This window comes from Homo sapiens, chromosome 2, assembly GCF_000001405.40.
Source record: "Homo sapiens chromosome 2, GRCh38.p14 Primary Assembly".
NCBI lineage: Eukaryota > Metazoa > Chordata > Mammalia > Primates > Hominidae > Homo > Homo sapiens.
Window position 1 is genome coordinate 183,003,121 of NC_000002.12, and position 24,432 is coordinate 183,027,552.

At 35.9% G+C, this 24,432-nt stretch overlaps 1 protein-coding gene across 4 annotated transcripts in view; it reads right to left on the reverse strand.

Moving 5' to 3' along the window:
- NCKAP1 (NCK associated protein 1) overlaps window positions 1-24,432 on the reverse strand; it is a 129,343-nt gene that overhangs the window by 94,006 nt on the left and 10,905 nt on the right. Inside the window, exons 2-4 of one of the 4 annotated variants that reach the window (NM_001437267.1) lie at window positions 21,858-21,875; window positions 20,686-20,796; window positions 113-199 (exon numbers count right to left, since the gene is read on the reverse strand). In NM_001437267.1, coding sequence (NP_001424196.1) covers window positions 113-199; window positions 20,686-20,796; window positions 21,858-21,875 — 216 coding nt within the window. Of the gene's footprint in view, window positions 1-112; window positions 206-20,685; window positions 20,797-21,857; window positions 21,876-24,432 lie in introns of all 4 variants that reach the window. The other 3 variants (NM_205842.3, NM_001437266.1, NM_013436.5) reach the window with 3 other exon arrangements.

The following is a 24,432-nucleotide window of genomic DNA, read 5'->3' on the forward strand; positions in this document are numbered from 1 at the left end:
GTTCTGGAAGAATTTCAATTTTATTATTTACAACTGACACAGCAATTCACACAATTAATAAACATTTAAATCTACTTCTGAAGTGTTAAATATTATATATTAAAATACATACCTTAAATTCCATAACATCTACAAATGTGAAGTAATATAATGCCAGATTTTTCAGAATCTCTGATTTTTCTTTCTGTAGTTGTGCAAGCTGTTGCTGTAAAAACAAAATTAGAATGCATTGCTCATAGAGAACAAAAGTATTTAATTTTACTACAAACTATCTTCTTTTATGACTGCTATATGGAAGCACAAGCTTTTAGAATATTTCTAGATGATTACGGCTTTTTAAAAAACCAAAGTACTCGAGACAGCAACTGCTAATAGTGATCAGCAACTGACAGTGTGAGGCTATAAAACAAATCAAAGCATATTAGTACCAAATTGCGCTACTATTAAGGAAAATCTGAAAGTGTTAGGAAAAAAAGTATCAAATGAACTCTTAAAAAATTAAAAACAAGTCATGAGCATGATCACATTACTAGAAGTGGGAGAAAAGAAGGTGAAAAACATTACAACTCACACTACAAAAAAACAATATGCTATATAAATTTGGAACTTACCAAAAAGAACATCCAGGTAAAGCCACGTTACGCATGCAAAATAAAATGTAGATACAAACATAAAATACGGTAACGGTTCCCTGACCAGATCCAGAAAACACAATAATATATTAAACAAAAGCAAAAACCACAACAACAAAAAAGAAATGAGAAAGAAGCAAAACTAGAGTTAAGACATGAAAGAGGGAAATGTTGAAAGACAAATAGTATTTTAATCAACTGTATAATTAAATTTACAAAAGTCCCAATTTTTCTTTTAAAATCAACTATTGATATAATTTCTAAAAGAATCTAGCTATTTTTAATGCCCTATAAGATTCTCAGAATTCCAATAAATGATCTAGAACCTTGACACTCTTGAGTATAGTTTACTGAATAGCCACTCCCACATCATTCAGGAGCTTGTTAGAAAAGCAGAATCTCAGGCCTACCTCAGATCTACTGAATCTGAATCTGCCCTTTAACAAGATACCCAGGTGTTGTAAACACACATTAAATGTGTGAGAAGTTTATTCAGAACATGAGAAAACTGGAAAATATAAGTGGCTCAAAATAGCAGATTTGCTATCAAAGCCCATACAATGCTGAGGCCTCCATATAGTTCTGAATTACACTCAGGAACGTTAGGGGGAAGATGCATCCATACATAATTGTACTGAACCACTATGGTAAGTCAGAAAATTTACAGCAGTGAGCCTAACATCAGAGGAATATATATATATTTTTAACTACGAAAAACCTATTTAAAACAGCAAGCAAAAAAAAAAAAAAAAAAACAGCAAGCACAGCAGTCTGGAAGACCCTACTATTATAGGGTAAACCACCCTAAATATTGCACTCCCTGAAGACATTTAAAGAAGTAATTCTATCTAGAAAATATTCACACTCAAGCCTGTAATCCCAGCACTTTGGAAGGCCAAGATGGGTGGATCACCTGAGGTCAGCAGTTCGAGACCAGCCTGACCAACATGGTGAAACCCTGTCTCTACTAAAAATACAAAAATTAGCTGGGCATGGTGGCGCATGCCTGTAATCCCAGCTACTCAGGAGGCTGAGACAGGAGAATCGCTTGAACTAGGGAGGAGGAGGCTGCAGTAAGCTTAGATCGAGCCACTGCACTCCAGCCTGGGTGACAGAGATGAGACTCCATCTCAAAAAAAAAAAAAGAAAAAAGAAAATATTCACAAATGAAATATTTCATTACTACCCCTAAATACCAGACAAATTAAGATATATACTTGTAGTGACTATTTTTAGCTTCATCTGAGAGTAGCTGACTCTATTTTGCACAACATTATCTGTTTCAGAACGATTCCATGTTTATATGCACATTTTAATCATTACTACTCCAAAAACATAAAGTGAATACTTATTACCTTATTCGACAACATTAAACATTTAGAATTGATGTCTTAGTCCTTTTTCCTGCTTTTCAGTACTTTAAACTTGAGTTTCAAAATACAACAGGTGAAAGTACATTCATAATAGTAAGATATGAAGGGTATAATTTGGTTTATATTGGGCTTAATAATCCCAATTTATTTTAGTTGCCCTAGTATAATTTTACTAATTGTGTCCCCTTTCCTTCCAACTTCAGTGTCCTAGTCTGAACAATAAATAATACGGTCACCATCTTACTATGAGCCTTAAATGGTCTTAAATACAAACCTCATTTTCCATATTAAGAACCTAAGACCTACAGACCTTAAAAGAACCTTCTTAAAGTTACAACTACTTAATGACAGAGCCAAGATTGGAAATCTCATCTCTTTACTTCTGAAAGTGTTCTTTCTACCATTCTACATGCCCATCATCTCCCTTTTTAATACAATCTCATAGGCTACATTTCTCATTCAACTTTATTTCCCCCAAAGCCATATATAACTAGACTCTACTTAGCTACAAACATTTATCAAACAACTACTAGATGCCTAAATTCAAAACAGTCTAGCTTTCAAGGCCCTCCACAATCTGGCCCTAACTTACTTTTCCAATCTACATTTCCCCTACATGTATTCACACACTACATACGGTAGCCAAAACAATCTATTCACTATTTTCTATACACACCTCCTGCTTTCTTACTGTTCCTCTACTGGAATGTCAGAATCCCACCATTTAAACATGTCCCAACCCCACTATTCCTAAAGCACTTAGTTTAAATGCTAATCCCATTTTCAGAAAACCGCACCTGATTGCACTCCTTCCCTGAAATGCTAACATCTCCCTCCTCTAAACATGTATAATGTCTAACAGCAGCTATCACTTTCTATCTTCTATTATAGCTATCTCCAGCACAATTAGACAGTGTACCAAACTCAAGTTTTAATTTCCCCAGTCCATATCATACAGTTCTGGACAAAGGAAGTATCCAATGCAAACATCTATCAGATAAGGGATTATAATGACAAACTTCAAAGACTACCAGTGTCAGATGATATGTTTTGGTAGGTGATGCTAGAAAGCATACCTTATTATGCAACCATGGTTAAATGACTTAACATCTCTAGCCTAATACCCTCCTCATCGAAATGGAAGCTGACATGGACAATTAACCAAGATAATGTACATAAGAATATGTAGCAATGCCTCACAGCCAGAAGCTGTACATTAAATATTAAGTGAATAACAAAGGAAGCTTGCAGATCACTTCTTCAAAATAAATATAATAAAACTTTAATATTCCCCATTATTACCCATAGTATTTCTAATAAGAGCTGATATTTACTGAGCATACATTATGTGTCAGGCATCGATTGTTCCAAACATTTTACAGGTCTCTCACACAATCCTCTCAATATCTCTATGCAATCACGTTCCCCATTTTAGTGAAAATAAATTCCATAAAGCCTGGGTGAAAGAGGTCAACTACAACAATGAAGAACAAAAGTGTCTACAACTCTCTTGCTTCAACTACAAAAAATGCTACATTTTAGTTCCTAAAGTGAGGGAGAGTAGATACTACCAAAAATTATTAATATCTAGAACCAAGTTTTCTTAATTCAATCACATTGTTTTATAGGAAATAAAAAGCAGAAAATGGCCTAAGAACATAGGTAACACATTGTTTGATGTTATACAACAGAACATTAGAAAAGTACTACTGTGAGAAAAAATTGATTCTATTCACTACACTAATATTTTATTTATTTATTTTTGGGATGGAGTCTTGTTCTATTGCCCAGGCTGGAGTGTAGTGGTGTGATGTCGGCTCACTGCAATCTCTGCCTTCCGAGTTCAAGCAATTCTTCTGCCTCACCCTCCCAAGTAGCTGGGACTACAGGCAGGCACCATACATCCAGCTAATTTCTTTGTATTTTTAGTAGAGGCGGGGTTTCACCGTGTCGGTCAGGCTGGTCTCAAATTCCTAATCTTAGGTGATCCTCCCGCCTCGGCCTCCCAAAGTGCTGGGATTATAAGCATGAGCCACTGTACCCGGCCTCAATACGCTAATACTTATAAAAGCATATTCATGTGATACATGCAAATATTTTAGCAAAGAATTTGTATAATGCTTTCCTTAAACTTTCTAGCTATGGGTCATTATTCTAAATATTCAAGTAAAATATGTAAAAACTGGAAATAAACAGGATAAATATCAGGCATGCTTATGGCAAAGAACCTATCTTCATACTGAAAAATCCTGGTAATTAATCTTTGTTCAATTAAGAAGCATTTTCCACACAAATATAAGTATCGAGAAAATTGAAATTTATTATGTATTCTAAATCCTAAAGTATTTCATTCTTCCAAAGAAAAAGCAATGGCAAATTACCATAAGGAATCAGTGCCTACGAGCTAAACCACTGAATACAAAGGAACGTGGGTAGTTTTTATTCACTCATTTCAATTATTACCTTCTATTGTTATTGAAACTGCTTATTCATAAATTATTTTTCTTAATCTAAGTTTTGCTAGCATTTGTTCCTCTTAAAAAAAAACCAAATTCAGAAGTTTGGTTTCAAGGAATGCTTTGTTCAAATTCTTAGTATGATATTCTAGGCCAGGCTGCTCAAAGTAAGAGTGCACTGAGATGCTATTTGGGTAAATCTCTGCCTAAACTGTCCCAGCTACCACCCTAGTCATCAACTCTCATGTGGACTCCTACGGTAGCACCCTAACTGGTCTCTGTATTTCTCCTCTTGCCTCTTCAATCTTCTCCACATAGCAGCAGCACAGTGAATGTTTTTTGTTTTTGTTTTCTTTTTTTTTGAGACGGAGTTTGGCTCTTGTTGCCCAGGCTGGAGTGCAATGGCACAATCTCGGCTCACTGCAACCTCCTGTTACCAGGTTCAAGCAATTCTCCTGCCTCAGCCTCCCGAGTAGCTGGGATTATACGCATGCGCCAGCACACCCAGTTAATTTTATATTTTTAGTAGAGATGGGGTTTCTCCATGTTGGTCAGGCTGGCCTCGAACTCCCAACCTCTCAGGTGATCCGCCCGCCTCGGCCTCCCAAAGTGCTGGGATAACAGGCATGAGCCACCACGCCCAGCCACAGTGAACATTTTAAAGCAACACACTACCCTAAAAAAACTGATTCCACTGATGTTATGCAAGATGTTTAACAGCACGTGAAGAATACAGGTGAATTCTCTATACTATTTTTGCAAAGTTTTTATAACTCTAACATTATTTCAATACAAAAATCATTTTTTAATTCCAACAGTTTCACCTCACAATTAGAATAAAAAAATAATTACCAGTGCCTCAGAATAAAGTCTAAATCAAAGCCCTTGTCTATCTCTAAGACCTCATCTTCTTTCATGCTCCTCCACCCTCACTCAGTATAGTTATCATATTGGTCTTCCTGCTGTGTTTGCATTCACCAAGTATGTTCCCATCGCAGAGCCTTTGCATTTGTTCTTTCTCATGTCTGGGGTGCTCTTCAACATTTCTGAGCACAGCTTACTCCCTCACCTCACTTCTCTTCAGTGAGGGAGAGTAGATACTACCAATTTTAAAATTTCATTGCTAGCCATAAATGAATTTGACAGTAGGTATAAATTCATGTCTCAAATGAGTTTCTAAATTGATTTAATCCCTTGAATAAAATCCCCAAAGTTGGGTAAAATACTTCACATTATGTCCTTCCAGCAAAGGAAAGCATAAAAGAAATGAGTGGCAACCATAGAGACTGACATATGCATATCAAATATAAGCAAATCTCTTAAGATTACCTAAAAATTCTAATTAACACAAAGAATAGTCATGTTTTAAAAGAACCTTAGACTCCTACTTAAAATCTTTTGTAGTGTATTTCTTTTTTCATATACAAAGTGATTATACTGGCAGTAAATATTTCAAAAATGCATTTTTCTGAGGAAACTGTAGTAAATATATTTTAGGAAAATGTATCCAGGCCAGGTGCGGAGGATCACGCCTGCAATCCCAGCACTTTGGGAGGCCGAGGTGGGCGGATCACCTGAGGTCAGGAGTTCAAGACCAGCCTGGACAACATGGTGAAACTCCATCTCTACTAAAAATACAAAAATTAGCCGGCATGGCAGGTTAGCCACCTGTGGTCCCAGCTACTCTGGAGGCTGAGGTAAGAGAATCACTTGAACCTGGGAGGTGGAGGCTGCAGTGAGCCAAGATTGTGCCATTGTACTCCAGCCTGGGCAACAAGGGGAGGGGAAGGGAGGGGAGGAGGAAAGAGGGAGGGGGAGGGGGAGACAGGAAAGAGGGAAGGGAAGGAAGGAAGGAAGGAAGGAAGGAAGGAAGGAAGGAAGGAAGGAAGGAAGGAAGCAAGCAAGCAAGCAGGCAAGCAAGCAAGGTTGGTTATCCTAACACTAGCCTAGTAAAATATGCATTACTGAATTACTGAGTGTTTAAGATGTATACTAAATTGAATCCTCTTAATACTTTTTCAAGGTACATTACTTTTTTTATTGTGGTAAAATACGCATAAAATTTGCCATGTTAACCTTTTCAAAGTGTGCCGTTCAGTGACTTTAAGCACATTTGCACTGCTGTGCAACCATCAGCACCATCCATCTCCAGATGGTTTTCATCTTCTCAATCAAAATACATTTTAGTCCTCATTTTCCAGATACAGAAACAGACCAGAAAAGGGTAAGATGCCAATCCGGGTCTATGAGATTCCAAAACTTGAAACACTTCTTCAATACACTTCAACATTCAAGTTGCTATACAATGACATAAAAGTAGCGTAGGGACAAGCTAAAGAAAACATTTGTATTTAATTATATTATAATCAATTACACAGACTTAAACTTCTAAAAAATCTAATTCAACTGTTTCACTTTATAATTAAGGTTATGTTTCTCTAAGTTCACACTGCTAGTCTTCTGTTTAAATTAATTCTGGAATGCACAAAGAGTTTTCTATTAAAGAACTGAAAGGCAAAGAAAAAAACTTAAAATTTGTGTCCATGCCTCCTTGCAATAGAACTCTACTGCCTCCATTAAGCACTGTTGTCTATTTTCCCCACCCTTCCCATCTTGGCTGGCCTTGTGACTTGCTTTGACCAACAGAAAGCAGCAGAAACAACGAGTCACTTCTAAGTCCAGGGCAAGGTCTTGTAACTTCTGATTTTGCTCTTTTGGAACACTGCCCTGACGTGCTGTATGTGAGGAAGCCTGAGATATCGTATCACATAGAGAAAGGGCACTTCAGCATCCCTGCTGTTCCAGCTGGGCCCATCCCCCAGAATGCACCAGTGGAATGCACTGCGGTAACCTAAAACCAGTGAGACCAGCAGAGAAACTACCCAGTCAACCCACAGAATCATAAGAAACAAGCTGCTGTCGTTTTAAGCCATGAAATTTAGAGGTGACCTGTTATGCAGCAATAGGTAACTGACACAATTAATATCAAGTTCAGCAATATAGATTAAAATAATTTCTATTTCACCACCTGAGCACATTAATGTGCCTCAGCTAAAACTTTTGGAAATTTAAGATTCTGGCTATAGATGGTCAAATTAAAGCAAACTTTGAAATTAATTTTATCATCAGTACTACAAAAATCACTAATTATATACCGTGGTATAGTGGGGTTGGTCAAGTGTAACATTTTTGTATAAAGGGTATCACATTGCATTAATGATAACACAATTTACCTCACTTAATGGCACTATTTTCCATTACAAATAGAAATATAAATAGGTTAGTTCCTTTACATTCAATTTTAATAATTTTTTAAAACCTTTCTAATATGTGATTAACTTACTTTCAAAACCAGTAGACCAGGCATAAATCAAGCTTTTCTTACTGATTAGATGTCATCATTGTAATTGATAATTATACAGATTTATTTATGTCAAGATGGCCTCAGATGCTACTGACTTGTACAAGATAATCTGACATTAAATGGTCCTTGCCTGCTATACTTAAGAGTTTTTATTTCTCTATCAATTATCATTTGCTCCTGATGAGAGTTCCTTTTAACGTACAGTGTGTTAGAAAATATACTTGTTACAATTTTGCCTAACCGGACTCAACAAGTTTGGTCATAGGAGAACCAAAATGCTTTTCTCTGAATAAACTTCATTTATTCTAGAATACATTTCTAGTTGTTCAAAATCATTTGGTTTTTTACAGCTTTATTAAGGTACAGTTTACTTACCATGAAATTTACCCATAAGTGAAAAATAATTTTAGTAAATTAGAGTTGTGAAACTATTCACTCTATCCAGCTTTAGAACATTTCCATCACCCCAAACCCTTGTGCCCATTTACAGTTAATCCTGCTGTTACTCCCAAGCCCTAGGCAACTACTGATTTGCTCTCTTTATCAATAAGCTTGCCTTTTCTAGACATTTCCTATAAAAGAGAATCAGACAATATGCAGCTTTTTACATCTAGCTTCACTTATTCATGTTATAGCGTTTATCGTAGTTTGTTCCTTTTAATTGGTGAGTAGTATTCTGTTAAATGTACACACTACATTTTGTTTATTCATTCGTCAGTTAATAGGCATTTGAATTGTTTCCAATTCGGGGCTATCATGAATAACAAATTCTGCTATGAACATGTCTTTGGGTAGACATATTTTCATTTCTCTTCGGATAAGTCCCAGAAGTGGAATTGCTTTCTTCCTAACTCTGAGATATGATTCAAAGAGGCAAGTGACATGAAAAGTACAGATAAGTGAAGAGTTACTGTAATAACATATTATTCAGACAACAAATATCTTAACCTATTATATTACCAGGCATTGTGGGAGAAGCTGAGAAAAACTATGAATAATGTACTGACCCTGCCCTAAACAAGCTCATTGTCTAGTGAGGGATGTGTATATACGTGTACAGGGAACTCCCAATTGTTTTTTCTTTTTGGTTTGGTTGGCTTTTTTGTTCTTTTTAAGGTAAATATCCAGTTTTTGAAGCTGATTAACTTCTAGGTGCAAGGTTTAAAGATGGTGAAAAACTACTATGATCAATTCCCATATTCCCTTCAAGACAAAGGTTTTCACCAACTGGCAATAACATGAAAAGGGTAACAATAAAAACAAAATCTACACATTAGTGTGATAAAGACCACAATAAGAAAGGTCAGAACTTCTAAGAGTGGTGAAAATGCTGAGCAAAACAGGGAAGTCAAAGGAGAGGCTGCTCTGAGTAGGTACCCATGAATGATTTTTGGTACATGAATACATACTGACAGAGGGCATGACAGCTGATGTTAAGTTTTCTCAAGCCTGTAAACAGGAATAAAGCTGATGTTTAAATTATCCTGGCTTCTGTCTGGCCTTTTTGGACATCTGTTGTTCTTGGGAGATTTGGAGACAAAGTGAGGTGGCATCACTGGGAGAATAATTCCCACTTAAAATCTGTAATACTCTGCCTCCACAAATTCTTTCAACACAGAGGGACCTCCTATCCATTCACTCTACCATCTTTTTACTGTCACTCATCCCCTTACGCCTTTTTTTTTTTTTTTTTAGACAGAGTCTCACTCTGTCCCAGAGTGTAGTGGCATGATCTCGGCTTACTGCAGCCTCCGCCTCCCAGGTTCAAGTGATTCTTGTGCCTCAGCCTCCCCAAGTAGCTGGGAAAACATGCGCACGCCACCACACCTGGCTATTTTTTTTTTTTTTTTGTATTCTTTAGTAGAGACAGGGTTTCACCATGTTGGTCAGGCTGGTCTCGAACTCCTGACCTCAAGTGATCCACTCACCTCAGTCTCCCAAAGTGCTATTACAGGCATGAGCCACTGTGCCCAGGCCCCCTACTTTCTTATCCATCTTAACTTTAAATGGCCCATCATTATAATTACTGCCTTGCCCTTCCCTCCCTCTTTCATAACTGTCTGATAAAACCTACAGTAGCAGAAAAGCATATACTTTGCTGACTCTGATCTCAACCTGATTTCATGATCATTGACCACAACTGAGTAGCAATACTACTCAAACTTTTCTGTCAATTCATTTTCCTACTGTCCTAGATGATTATTCCATTCCTTTCTCTCTCTCTCAAATCCCTCAATAATCTTCTTCAACTTGACAGTCAGCTTAAACCTAACCTGAGATCTACATTCATATAAACAATTGGCTATTTGATATCTCCACTCAGATTTCCAGTAAGCCTCTCAAACTTAACACGTCTAATATTGAGCTACTGAGTACTTCCCCCACTGCATTCACTGTACTACTCCCACTGCACTACCCCAAACCTATTTCTCCTGTTCTCTCACCCCATTATATCTTGACATGAGTTCAGGCCAAAAACCTTAAAGTCTTATTTCTCACTGTCCATACACCCAACACCCAATTCATCAGCAAATACTATAGGTTCTGTCTTCAAAAATATATCCAGAATCTGAACATTTCTCACCTCAACCACCCTAGTCCAAGCCACCATCAGCTCTCATCTCAATGATGGCAAATTTCCTAACTATTCTCCCTATTTTCACCTTTGCTCTCCTGCAGACTATTCTCTACCGAGTAGCCATAGTGATCACAGTCATATCACTTCATTCCCCTACTACTCCCCTCCTATGGCATCTCAACACACTCAGGGTAATTAGCTAAGGTCCTCACTATGGTCCAGAAAGCCCTATATGATCTGCCTATTCATTACAACCACTGGCACTTCATGTCCTACCACCGTCCCCTTCAATCATCTACTCTGCTCATAATGCCCTCCTTGTTCCTGAACATGCCAGGCATGCACCCACCTGAGCCTTTGGAGCTGCGGTTCCTTCAGCACAGAATGCTCCTCCCCTAGCTAAACTCACTCCCTCATATCTTCAAATCTCTGCCCTAATGCTTTCTTCTCAGTAAGGCCTTTCCTGGTCACCCTAAGTAAATTACATCTGCCAGGCATTAGTCTTATGCTTTTACCCTGCTTTGTTCTTCCTAGAACTCTTTACCTGGTATTATATTCTTATTTGTTCATTATTTATTTCTGTTCAACATAATATAAGCTCTGTAAGAACAGAGACTTCTGTTTGTTCACTGCTGGAATCCTCTCTTCCAGAACAGAACTTGGCTCATAGAAGGCGCTCAATAAAGGATTTAAATAAATAAATGAATAATCAGTGGAGAATGTGATGGAAACATACATATGCAGAACTTAAACTAATTTGGAAAGGTCAGGGAAAGCTTCTCTGAATGGTGGCATTTAAGCACAGACCTGAAAGACAAGCTAGCCTAGTGAAAGAACATGGGAAAGAGAGACTATTCCAGATAGTAAAAAAAAGTCGAGGCAAAAGAAACATGGCCATTTGTTCAATGAAAGTATAAACATACTTTCCCCAAATACAACACTCCTTTAAAAAAATAAAGCAAGCAAATATATTTTCCTTAGGTTCTACATTCTATCCTACACTAGACAATGGGAACTAACATAGTATACTAGCCTGCATACTCTTGGCCAGGGACCATTAATGTACCTATTTAAAATATTCTTGGCCAAGATGAGTACTACGAAGAATAAAAGAAAGTAAGTACTCTGCAACATGTGTTATTTATTCCATTGTAGCTTTTACTGTGTTATTTTCAATCTTGGCAATTAACTTTAGATCTGACAAAAGGTAGTACTGAACCTGCCATGAAGAAACAATGAGAAGATAACATGCTAAAGGTACTTAAAAGGTACAAGGTTAAAAGTGGCTAAAGGCCCCAAAGAAATGACCAAGGAAACCAAAGTTAAAGGTCAATAGGTGATTAGGTAGTGATAATGTCCTCTGCTACTATGAAGGGCATCAAAATCACCACTGCAGCCAAATGGACCAACAACTGTTTGAAAGCTGAAAAACTATCACTTACAGGCAAGACATAACTTCAGGAAATTTGAAGAGTATGGAAAAATGACTACAGATGCCAGAAATGTATATACTTGAAGGCTATGCTATGGAACCCCAGTGTAATGCTCATTGGCAGCCTCATTTCCAGGAAAGCAGAAAGTCTCTTTGAGTTGAAGAGGTTATGAATATAGTTTAGTATGACAAAAATATATAGCACATAAGATGCACAAAATAATATTCTGAAACCACAGGTAATTATATAAAAAGGATAAGAAAGGAGATGTTTTAAAATAGATGTGTTTTGGGATCATAAGAACCACCCTTGAGAATATGAAAAAAAGCTTAATAATTCATTCACACACAAATTCTATATGCAACTTTAGGGGATTCTCAAACTCATGAAAATTCAGTGGAAAAGCGCAGGTAAAATCATCACACTGAAGACAAAGCTATAACCCATAATGAAAGCTACACAGCAGGCTTTTACAAATTATCTAGATTGATGTTAGAAGACAGAAGGTTAGAGGAAAGTAGGCTCCAGGAAAAAAAAAAAATTATAAAAAGGTGACATGATTATAAGGCCAAATAAATTTAAAGAAAGTAAAAAGGCTTATAACTATAATTTCAGAAAGTCATGGTATAACTATGAAACTGTAAAATAATTTTAAGTAAATGACAGAATTTAGGAAGAGAGATTCCTTTTCTCTTTAAGGCTAAATATATTATTCATCTTACAGCCCAAAGTGTGACAATGGAATAAAGAAATCCAAACCAAGCACTTAGGCCTTTATTAATATTTAATTTTTTTCAACCAACATATAATAAATATAGTATCAGAACACTGTATAATTACAGAACCAAAAAAAAAAGCATTAACAATTTTGACAACATGAGAAGAAAAGGACAAATGGATAAATAACCAAGGGTGAGGATATAAAAAAAAAAAACTATATTAAAGTTAAAAAAGGAAGTAATCAATGATCCAAAAATACTAACAAAAAACACTGGGAAAAAGGCTTGAGAGGGGAAGTAAGGGGAAGTAAATTGAGCAAGCTAAATCCTCATCTTTTGTTGCATAGGAGAGACACTGTCTAAAGTTGGTAACTGAAGTTATAAGGGAATAAGCATATTTGTTATAGTTCTAGCAGTAACCTGTAGAAATTCTAAAAATAGAAGTTCCCTCTGAGGAATATGACTAGGGTGGGAAAAAGTAAACTAGGAGATATTCACTTTTCATCCTAAATTCTTCTGGACTATTCATTATCATGTATTCATGTTCTTTGGGCAAAAATAAAAAACAAAAAATTTAAATCACTTTAGGTAGGTCACCAGTGCTGATGCAATTCCCTGCCACTATTTGACCTATTTCAATTACTTTCCAAATATATCAAAGCAAGGCTTACTTGCATCTCCTGAGGAGTTCTTTTATTTATTGTTTGTTCAAGATAGAATTAAAGACTTTTACATGTCTAAGAGTCATTAACAACTCAATACTGATGATATCTTTTTAAAAGAACATTGACATTTCAGTTAATTCTCATTGTATCAAAATTCCTTAAATCCTGGCAATGTTTAATTGGTCGGGACCAAATATTCCTTTGAGTTTCCATTAGGGCATATATATTTATTCATGATGCTGTTACAACTCCCAGCATGCTGTTACAACTCCCAGTTACATTATTTTACAGTAAGGTGATTCCTTCTAAACCAAACTCTTATTTGTTGGCCTACTACATGCCAGTCAAGAGGGATTCAAAGATGAGTGCGTGGTCCAGGAAGATGCAGATGTGGGGTACCACAGAGAAAGTGATTGTTTTTTGTTTTGTTCTGCTTCCCCTGGTGGAGGTTGGAGGGAGGGAGGAAGGGAGGGCGAAAGTAGGAGAGATTGGATGGCATACAAATCAATGTTTGGATTAACATGGCATTTGTCCCGGCAGGAAATGTAGACCTGAAGGGGATAAATTCAAATGACATTATAGTGGGGAACCCGGACAAGTCGTAAATGACCAGTTTGATATTTTTTACAAGTCAAAAGGGATTCTGAAGGTTGTAGTTTAAATAACTAAGTGGATGGTGACAGCTCAAGGGGGGAAACACAAAAGAGAAAAAAAGGTAGGATAATCACATGTTCCATATTGGATAAAAAGTTTTCTGTTTAGCTTGTGGAGCTGTCCAAAGGGGTAGCTAGAATTCAGCTCTAGAGCAGCAGTCCCCAACCTTTTTAGCACCAGGGACCAGTTTCATGGAAGACAATTTTTCCATGTACTGGGGCGGAGGGGTGGAGGGTGGTTTGGGGTGACTAAAGCACATTACATTTATTGAGCACTTTATTTCTATTATTACATTATAATATGTAATGAAATAATTACACAACTTATCATAATGTAGAAGCAGTGGAAGCCCTGAGCTTGCTTTCCTGCAATTTCATGGTCCCATCTGGGGGTGATGGGAGACGGTGACAGATCATCAGGCATTAGATTCTCCTCAAGAGCTCGCAACCTAGATCCCTCGTGTGCACAGTTCACAATAGGGTTTTCACTCCTATGAGAATCTAATGCCACTGCTAATATGACAGGAGAAAGAGCTCAGGCAGTAATGTGAGTGATGGGGAGTGGCTGTAAATACAGATGAAGCTTAGGGTACTACCACTCATCTCCTGCTGGGCAGCCGGGTTCCTAACAGGCCACGGACTGGTACCTGTCTGTGGCCTGGGGGTTGGGGACCCTGATCTAGAGCACAGAATATAGGAGATCGTATATGTACTTAGTTGAAGCCACAGCAGTAAGTGTTTTCACACATATACACTATGGGGGGAGAAGTCATTTAGGAAAACCCACATTTAAAGGGTACCCAGAAGAAAAGCCAGCAAAGTAGTCCAAAAAGTCAAAGAGGTAAATGTTAAGTTAACAGCTTCCATTCTTCAAGAGCAATTTGTCACACACTGTACTAAGTGCTTTAGGAAACAATGAACTACTCCTTGAGATTGGTATTATCACCATTTTAGAAATAAGAATAAAGATACCTGGCCGGGTGCGGTGGCTCATGCCTGTAATCCAGCACTTTGGGAGGCTGGGGCGGACGGATTGCCTGAGGTCAGGAGTTTGAGACCAGCCTGGCCAGCATGGTGAAACCCGTCTCTACTAAAAATAGAAAATTAGGCGGGCGTGGTGGCAGGCACCTGTAATCCCAGCTACTCGGGAAGCTGAGGCAGGAGAATCGCTTGAATTCGGGAGGCAGAGGTTGCAGTGAGCCAAGATTATGCCATTGCACTCCAGCCTGGGCAACAGAGCAAGACTCCGTCTCAAAAAAACAAAACAAAAAAGAACAATGATACCTTAAGATGTTAAATAATTTGCCCAAAATTATCCAGCTAATAAGTGGAAAGACCAGAACTCAAATTCTGGTTTACTGAATCCAGAGTCCATCCTCTTAACCAGTATGTTACTATCTTAATAGGAGTCATGACAAAACAAGGAATGCCCTCTTAAAGACAAGTTAAGAAGGAGTTAAATATGCCTACTGTTTCCTTCTAAGTCCTTACCAAACCACAGTGCATGCATGTGTCAAGGGCCTCCCTACACCTATCACCAATTCCACCACCCCACCCCTAAAACACATTTATGTTTTTAGGAGTTGAGACTCTTGCTCTATTTCTGGGTGACTTTCAATAATACCATTAATAAGATATATCTGAATAGTTCTACTAAAAAGTACAATCTTTTTTTAGCTAACATTAACTCCATAACTTTTAAAAAGTGTGGATAAGTTCAGGTCCTGACATAAATCTAAAGCAATGTTTGAATACAAGTGAAAGCTGGTTATGTTAGAGTGTATCAAATAGTTCCATTCATTAATGGGACATTTATTTAGTGCCTCTTATGTGTCAGGCACTAGGGATAAAACATTTTTAAAAGGCTCTATTGCTTCGCCTCTGAACTAACTTTACTGCTGATTATTACACTTAGAGTTGCTTTGTCTTTCCTAGAGTGACTTTATAAGCTACTTCAATAAAAAATTATGTTTTACATAACATCTTATAATTCTATGTTCCTTGGGAGAGGGGATAAATAATATCTATAACATAAAAGATTCCTATAACTTAGGAAAACATAATTTTCAAATTATTTCAACAACAGCCTGTGTCCTAGTCTAGAATCCCTATATCACTCCTGTGGCACTCTACTCGCCAGCAATGTCCCTATTCTTAAAGACTTCAAGATCTAATTCAGCATACATAGGATAGTAATTTTTATCATTTCCTCATTAATTTGGATATCAAATCCAAAATTTTACATTAAAATGTGCAATAGGCTAATTCCATAATAACACTATTGTGCCAGATAATATTTTTACTGTTTTAAAAAACACAAACTACCTTTTAGGTGTAATGCAATATAGGAAAGAGAAAAAAAAAGTTTAAAAAATATTGGAAAAAAAATTAGAAAAGTTTTAACATACACCTGAACATTTGCTTACATTGCCTTTTAGGTTTCCTGAGCCAAATAATTTGTATGTGTTAATAAAATAAGAAAGGAGTTTCTACTATTTTCTTCATCCAGGAAAATAACAGATTCCCCTCCAGGTACCCTTAAGAAACCTACGAGAAACAAATTTCATTTGAGAGTTACACTTTCAAAATAATGAAAGCATTTATATTACAGATAAATTAGATAATCTTTCAGCTCAAAAATACTTGGCTTAATCTGAAATTAAATGAGGAACTCTATTAATACACATAACCTGGCACACATTAGATAACAAGTGGCTGCTATAATTATAAAACTGGTATGGCTTTTATTCATTTTGAATTTCATTTAATCAGCTTGCTCTGAAGCATGAGGCATTTAGTTCAACATCATGACCCAAGGAAAAAACCTCATTCCTTGGTCCTAGATTTTCCCTAAACCCAGAATCGGAAATATAAAACTTGTTACAACTGGTCACAAACAAGAAAGTAAAAATGACTCAACAGAGTCCAACATCATCACTGTAGAAGTCATGTTGTGTACCAGTCCTGCTACCTGTCAGCAGTGCCTTCCTTTGTTGCATATCAAATAACTATGTGCTCAAGGATTCTAAAGGGATTAAAAAGTATGGAGGTGAGGGCAGTTATTAAAAAAAACAAAAAACAAAAAACAAACAAAACAAAATAAAAAATCAACAATTTTTTAGCTGCAAGATAAGGGCAGAATTTTGCAAGAATCCATTTTAGAAACTTCAAAAAATAAATATTTTGAGGCTGGGCATGGTGACTCAAGCCTGTAATCCCAGCACTTTGGGAGGCCAATCTGGGAGGATCACTTGAGCCCAGAAGTTTGAGACCAGCCTGGTCAACATAGCAAGACCCCATGTCTACAAAATATACAAAAAGTTAGCCAGGTGTGGTGGTTGTGCCCCTGTAGTTCCAACTACTTGGGAGGCTGAGGCAGAAGGATTGATTGAGACCAGGAGGTGGAGGTTGTAGTGGGCTGAGATTGCTCCACTGCACTCCAGCCTGGGCAATAAAGCAGGACCGTGTCCCAAAAAAAAAAAAAAAAGAAAAAAAAGAAAAAAAAATTTATTGCATTTTCACCAGAAATCTGTTTTTATGAGTACCTTTTCTGAAATTGGGGGACATGTGTTACTTGTAAGACATGAATCAGAGTAGAAATAGTAATAACCTAGGTCCCTAAGAAAAAGTAAGCATGTTCTGTTTCACATATTTACATAATAATCCAAAGCACAAGAATAAGAAAAAAAGAAAGAAAAGACTGATATCAATACCACTTCTACAGTGCACTTAGTAGCCAGAAATCTGCAACCTCCTATCAATCCCAGACGCTACTATCTTTTCCAGTCTTTAAGCTCCATCAACTAATTCAATAAGTTAAAAAATAATAATAGAACTGAAACCTCACTTCTCATGTCCTGATCCAAGCTAGCTAGGAACTTCTCACCAAAATTTTAGCAGACCCAGATCAAAACTGAGATCACAAGACTTTATATATGCCCAATACATAGTACTTCAGCAGGTAAAAAAAACAACAGAGTAGCATTACAAAGAATAGTTGTAAAGGCAATATGAAAAAACTCAGGCTTTGCAAACAAAACAAAGTAAATACTACAAGTAAGTCATAACATTCAACAACATTGTACAATCAATTTTATAGGTTAAGCACAGAATTACCACGCCACCCAGCAATTCTTTCACAGGTTTATAAAGCCAAGAGAAATGAAAACATATCCATACAAAAACTTTCACATAAATGTTTATAGCAACATTATTCATAATAGGCAAAAAAGTAGAAACAATCCAAACATCCATCAACTCATGAATGAATAAAATGTGGTATATCCACACAACGGAGTATTATTTGGCAATAAAAAGAAATGAAGATTGGGCACAGCAGCTTACAGCTGTAATCTCAGCACTTTGGGAGGTCAAAGTGGGAGGACTGCTCAAGCCCAGGAGTTTGAGACCTACCTGGGCAACATAGCCAGACCACATCTGGATAAAAAATTAAAAAAAATTTTTAAAAATAGCTGAGCATGGTGGTGCGCACCTGTGGCCCTAGCTACTTAGGAGGCTAAGATGAGAACATCATTTTGGTCTAGGAGTTCGGTGTTACAGTGAGCTATGATGGCGCCACTGCATTCTACCCTGGGTGACAGAGTGAAACCCTGTCTCTTAAAACAAAAACAAAATACTGATACATGCTACAACTTGGATAAACCTTGAAAATATTACGTTAAATGACAGAAACCAGTCACAGAAGACCACATATTACATTATTCCTGATGAAATCTTCAGAATAGGCACAGAGACAGAAAAAGTACATCAGTGGTTGCCTTAGGGCAGGGGTGTTGGCAGGAAATCAGGGGTGACTGCTAATGGGCACAAAGTTTCTTTGGGTGGTGATGAAAATGTTCTAAAATTAACTGTGGTACTGGATGCACAACTCTGTGAATGTACTTAAAAAACACTGAAACTGTACACTTTGAATGGGTGAATTATATGGTATGTGAATTATACCTCAATAAAACTATTATTAAAAATATCGATTTTGTGCTTCAAAAGTTAGAAAGAGAAGTAAAACTATCAAAAAACAAAAAACAACAGGATGATAATAAACAGTTTGCCCGGCATATCAAGAACAGCAGATGCTTAATTGGTCTGCTGACAACAGACAATTTTACTGTTGTTTCACCAGATACTTCTAATTCTAAGGAAAGACCTAATATTAAGGAACGATGCATATTCTCACATATAAGTTTACACACAAACACATGTGTAAACTAAGCTTCAAAGATTCTCTGAAGAGCTCATGTCAGAAATTTTATGAGCTGTAAGAAAAAGAAGTGTATATAAAATTAATTTAAGACAGATTTTCATAACAAAATCTCTCTTTTAGAGTGAGTATATAATCTCTCAGATGAGGTAGCCAATTAATGTCAGTAACTAAAAAAGAGTTCTCCACACAAACAAAAGTGTTAAGAAGTGCAAGTTTTGAATCACCTATTTTGCAATCAGGAACTAATTATAATGCTTTAATATATTGATATATTATAAAACAATATTTCTGGCTGCGCACAGCAGCTCATGTCTGTAATTCCAGCACTTTAAGAGGTCGAAGCAGAAGGATCCCTTGAGCCCAGGAGTTCAAGACCAGCCTGGACAACATAGTGAGATCTCGTCTCTACAAAAACAATCTTTTATGAAACCTCTACTAACCTGTACTCCCCAAAAACAGACTTGATTTTGTTTAAAAAAATGCCTTAAAAAGCACTTTATCTGACTTATTTGTATTAGTTCTTACTAGCATTTTCTTTCTACATGGAAGCGTTTTTAAGCAAAAGTATCAACAGGCTAAATACAAATCTTCAATGAACATACATGATTTGAGAAAACAAAAAGGTGACAATGTATCTTTTTATTTTTAAACCAGTCAAGTGCAGTAGTGAGAAGGGGGCAAAGAGTAGAACAAGGAGCTGGATCTGTAACTGACGCAGAACAATCAATTGAGATAACTCACTATTTTTGGACCAGCTGACGATATATCTTTTCAACAGAGCTTCTCAAAATTATGAAGATCATATGTGAGAGGAAATTTCTAAACTAAATTTGTATGTAAAGCAAAAGAGGCAGCAAAGATAGTAACAAGAAAATATCAGAGAAAAAAATAAAAAGAGAAGACAGGCAGAAAGATTCTGAGTCAAAATTTATATAAAAATGCCACACTGAGGCAAAAAATAACTCTAATTTCCCAAAAGTAGTTATTCATAGAAATTACTATAAAGATATGTAAACATATCAGGAAGATTCTGAACATGACCATTCTTCAGTATACTAAGAAAAAACTTTCCCATATGAAAAGTAATATGGAGATAATAAAGACCCTAACACAATCATTTACTTGTACTATTTAATCTTTAGAAATCATTGTCAATTATGAAAATACTAGAAAAACAAACACATTTTAAAACTAAATACAGCTAACTACTTAAAACAACAGAAGCTCTATGCAGACATTTACTAACTTCAACAGGAAGTTTATGACTATAAGAAACAAAAATATCCCAAGTATCCACACAAGAATTTGGAATATATACATATCTATTACCTTACTCTTGTTGCAATTTGAAAGGGAATAAATATATAGTAATCTAAGATCTTTGCTGTAATAAAGTGGCAATGTCGTTAAGAGTTATTTTTTTCCGGTCTCGGACATAAGAATATTGTCTCAAAAAAACCCTTAAGGTATATAATCTGTATATCAAAATGTTAAAAATTAGGTAAATAAGAGCTACTATAAGCACTGTGTTGACCACTGTTTCTCTAAAAGATGCTTAAAATTAAGCAATAGAAAAATTTAGATAACTTACATTGTTGTTGCGGGTTTCTACAGCAGGGAATTTTCTGACTATGAATTTCACAGCAGATTCCAGGTTTTTGTCGATAAGATAGGATGGTTTTGCCTTGGGGTCTCCACATGCCTATAAAACAACAGTAATAAAAAAAAGTGAAATGCACCCTTCTTCTAAAATCAAAAATAGCAAATCTGCAATTAGAAATTAAAGAGATATTTATTGTTTTTGGTGAGCAGGTGATAAAATGAATAGGCAAAGTGCAGGGATTGTCACAGCTGAAATATGCAATGGGAGACAGTACAGAGATGTTCTTCTACTGAAAAAAATGCATGGAAAGTTTCGAAGCAGTTAGCGCAGAACAGCAGTGAAGGAAAAAGCTCAAACCTAAAAAAAAGAAAAAGAAAAAAAATTCTTGGTTTGAGGTAGGATTGTATTCATCTGAAGCTAATAAAATATTACAAAATTAAATATTCAGTAGAGTACTAGACATGTTTCTTTCTAAGTGTTATAAAATAAAAGCTTATGTTTAAATGTCTTTTCCAAAATGTTTTCCTCATTCACTTTAAACATTTTAATACAAGAGCCCTAGTTCAAAAGAACTGGAAGCTGCTAAAATTGTCTTTATAGTGCTAAGGTGTGTTGTCTTATTCTCTGAACATCTGAGTTACAACACTGTTTTCCATCATACCAGCAGCACTTCAAACAATGAATCTACATCTGTTCTATATATCATAAGCACAGAACAAATGGATATGTTTACGTTTTGACCGTATCAGCAGTACAGCATTCTCTGCAGTAAACTGTAAGGCACTATACAAATGTAAGGTATTATTATTAGAAAGAACTTTCTACCTGAACTATTACAATACAGAATATAATCTTGAATACTGTTCCTGTTTTATTACGTGACATTAAATTAACTGCTTGCTAGCGAGATGTTATTCCTTAGGGAATTACTAAAATTATAACATTTCTATTTAACTTCTTTTTATTGCATTTTGAAAAGGATGTGTCCTTTGGAAAGTTACATCTGTCTGCCATGTGTGAGGAAATACACTACTGCAATTTTATAGTTTTCCATTGTTTACTATGGCTATGTTGTGGATTGCAGAAAGAGAAGTTATGAAACATGAAACTGATCTGAAAGCGGGCAAGCGGGCAGAGGGAAGGTGAAAAGCTTTGCAAACCTTCCAAACTTGTCCTTGCTGGGGAAGCATTGTAATAAAAAGAGAGAAAATTACGTGTAAACAATGATTGTCAAACTATGATATACGTTTCAGAAGAAAACTTATGCACTGCAGACTATGAATAACAGAACAAGATTAGAATTATATGGTGCTACAATTTTAAAGGTATTCTAAGTAGCGAGTTTTAGTATAAAATAAATTTATAGAGTTTATACTGTTCATATAAACACTACTGTGTACGTGTACAATCAGGTCAGTTTCTTGGTGCTCTTTCTAAACCAACTTAAAATAATACTAGAAAGAAGGAAAATAAAGACTACATGCAGCTATAAAAACAGGAGCAAAACCATCAGTGAAATTTTACATACCTTAAAAAGAAACGGTAGCCGAGAATAAAAATAAATTGTTATTGGATGACTTTTGTATTTCAGCTCAAATTGTAACTATTTTTCAAACATCACCTAACTTCCTACCATGCCAAAGTATAAAAATCAATGTTAACATTCCTATATTTTCCAAATGGAAATAGGAATGCAGTAAGAAATCTCTTAATTCTCAAATATAATTAAATAAAACAAAATCTTAAGAAATTTAGAACTTCATAATCTTTAGCCAGACTGACATTACTACTATGTAAATTCCATTTCAACATCATAAATATTAAAATATATCCAACTTTCTTTGAGTAGACTATCATTTCTTTAAAATATTCTTAAAATCTTCCAATTTATATTCTTCTCCCCAAATATAATAGCTAAGAATAATAATCACATACTAAAAATTTGCCCAAACACAAATAGCTATAGATTAGCATTGCCTTACATAATCACATAATAAAAATCAAGTGTCATAAACATGCTTGAGGTAGTGCAAAATCCTAAAGTGATTCCAAATTATGTTCAGTTTTTTCATATGTGTTGTCTTTCATATTCTAACTATTGAAAAATTTAGCTATCCATTCCTCTATTAGGGACTATCACATATAATGAAAATGACAGATCACCATATCCATTTCCCACAACCACAAATTTTACTGTTTAAGAATGTAAACATATAAACAACTTCGTTGGTTGATAACCAAACAAGTATGTGTGTGCGTATGTGTGTATACACACATACACATATATAAATGAGCAGCTCTTCCTTCTTACACTGAAAACAGAAAGAACAGAATTTCATTTTGTCCAAGTCCAGTGGCTCACGCCTGTAATTCCAGAAATGGGGGCTAAGGGGCTTGAGCCAGAAGTTGGAGACCAGCCTGGACAACATAGCATGACCCTGTCTCTACAAAAAAATGTTTTAAATTAGCTTGTAGAGAAGTAAGCTCAGGGCTTTAAGAGAAAAAAAAATTATAAGGGTGTGGTGGTGCACAACTGTACTCCTAGCTACTTGGGAAGCTGAGGGAGAAGATCACTTGAGATCAGGAATTCAAGGCTACAGAGCTGTAATCACACCACTGTACCGCAGCCTGAGCCACAGAGTGAAGCTCTGTCTCTTAAAACTAAAAACTAAAAAAAAAAAAAAAAAATTCAGAAAAAAATAAAGGACTATATAATCTGCTTTCCCTGGAATTGATTTACCTTTTCCACACTGCTCAGTGGACCTTATCTAACATACTTAATTGGGAGGCAGTATGTCTCAAAGGTTAAAAACAAATATTCTGGAATAAAACTGGCTGAGTTTCAATTTTCATGACTTACTAGCCATGGGACCTGGAATATATTACAAAATATCTCCTAACCTATGTTTCTTCGTCTGTAAAATGGGGAAATTAGTACTTACCTCACAGGGTTATTATAAGGATTAGAAGAGAGATAAAGAAACCATGTAAAGCATTTAGCAAAATGATAAGCACATAAGTGCTCTAAAAATGCTAGCTGCTTTTTAATAATAGCTATAATGATGATAATAATTATCCAAGTCTAATATGAATAGTAATCATAGTAACAGTCTTTATCATAATATATATATACAACTAGCAAGTTAGTGTTAACTTCCTTATGCAACTATTAAATACAATCCCCTCTCTCAATCAAATATTTCCTTTATTCACTTTAAGCCTAAACATCTAAATACAGCCTAAATACAGCCTAAAGTCTACATTTGCTGTAACTGTACAGAGTTTAACCTAATTGTTAAGAACCTGAGTTTCAAGACAGGCTGTCCATGTTTAAAATCTTGGCACCATCACTTAGCTGTGTACCCATGAGCAAGTCATTCTATCTGTGCCTCAGTTTCTTCAACTGTTAAACAGATAATAATTACAACCTATGCTAAAAAGTTTTTATGTTCACTACATGAAAGTGTTACCTGTAGACTTTACGAGAGTATTTGGCATACCAAGAGCTCCCAAAAAATGCCAATTAAAAATAAGAGGTTAATACATACAGAAGTACTAGGCCCCATCTTATCTTTTTTCTAAAATCCACTTACTTGATTTATTTGCTTAATAACAAGAGAGACACTTGTATGGGGAATACTTAGGCAAAAAAGAAGAAGTCTATGAAAAAAATAAACTGACATGACTAAAAGTTATCAGCTAGGTAAAATATATCCTGGCAAAGAACCATAACAA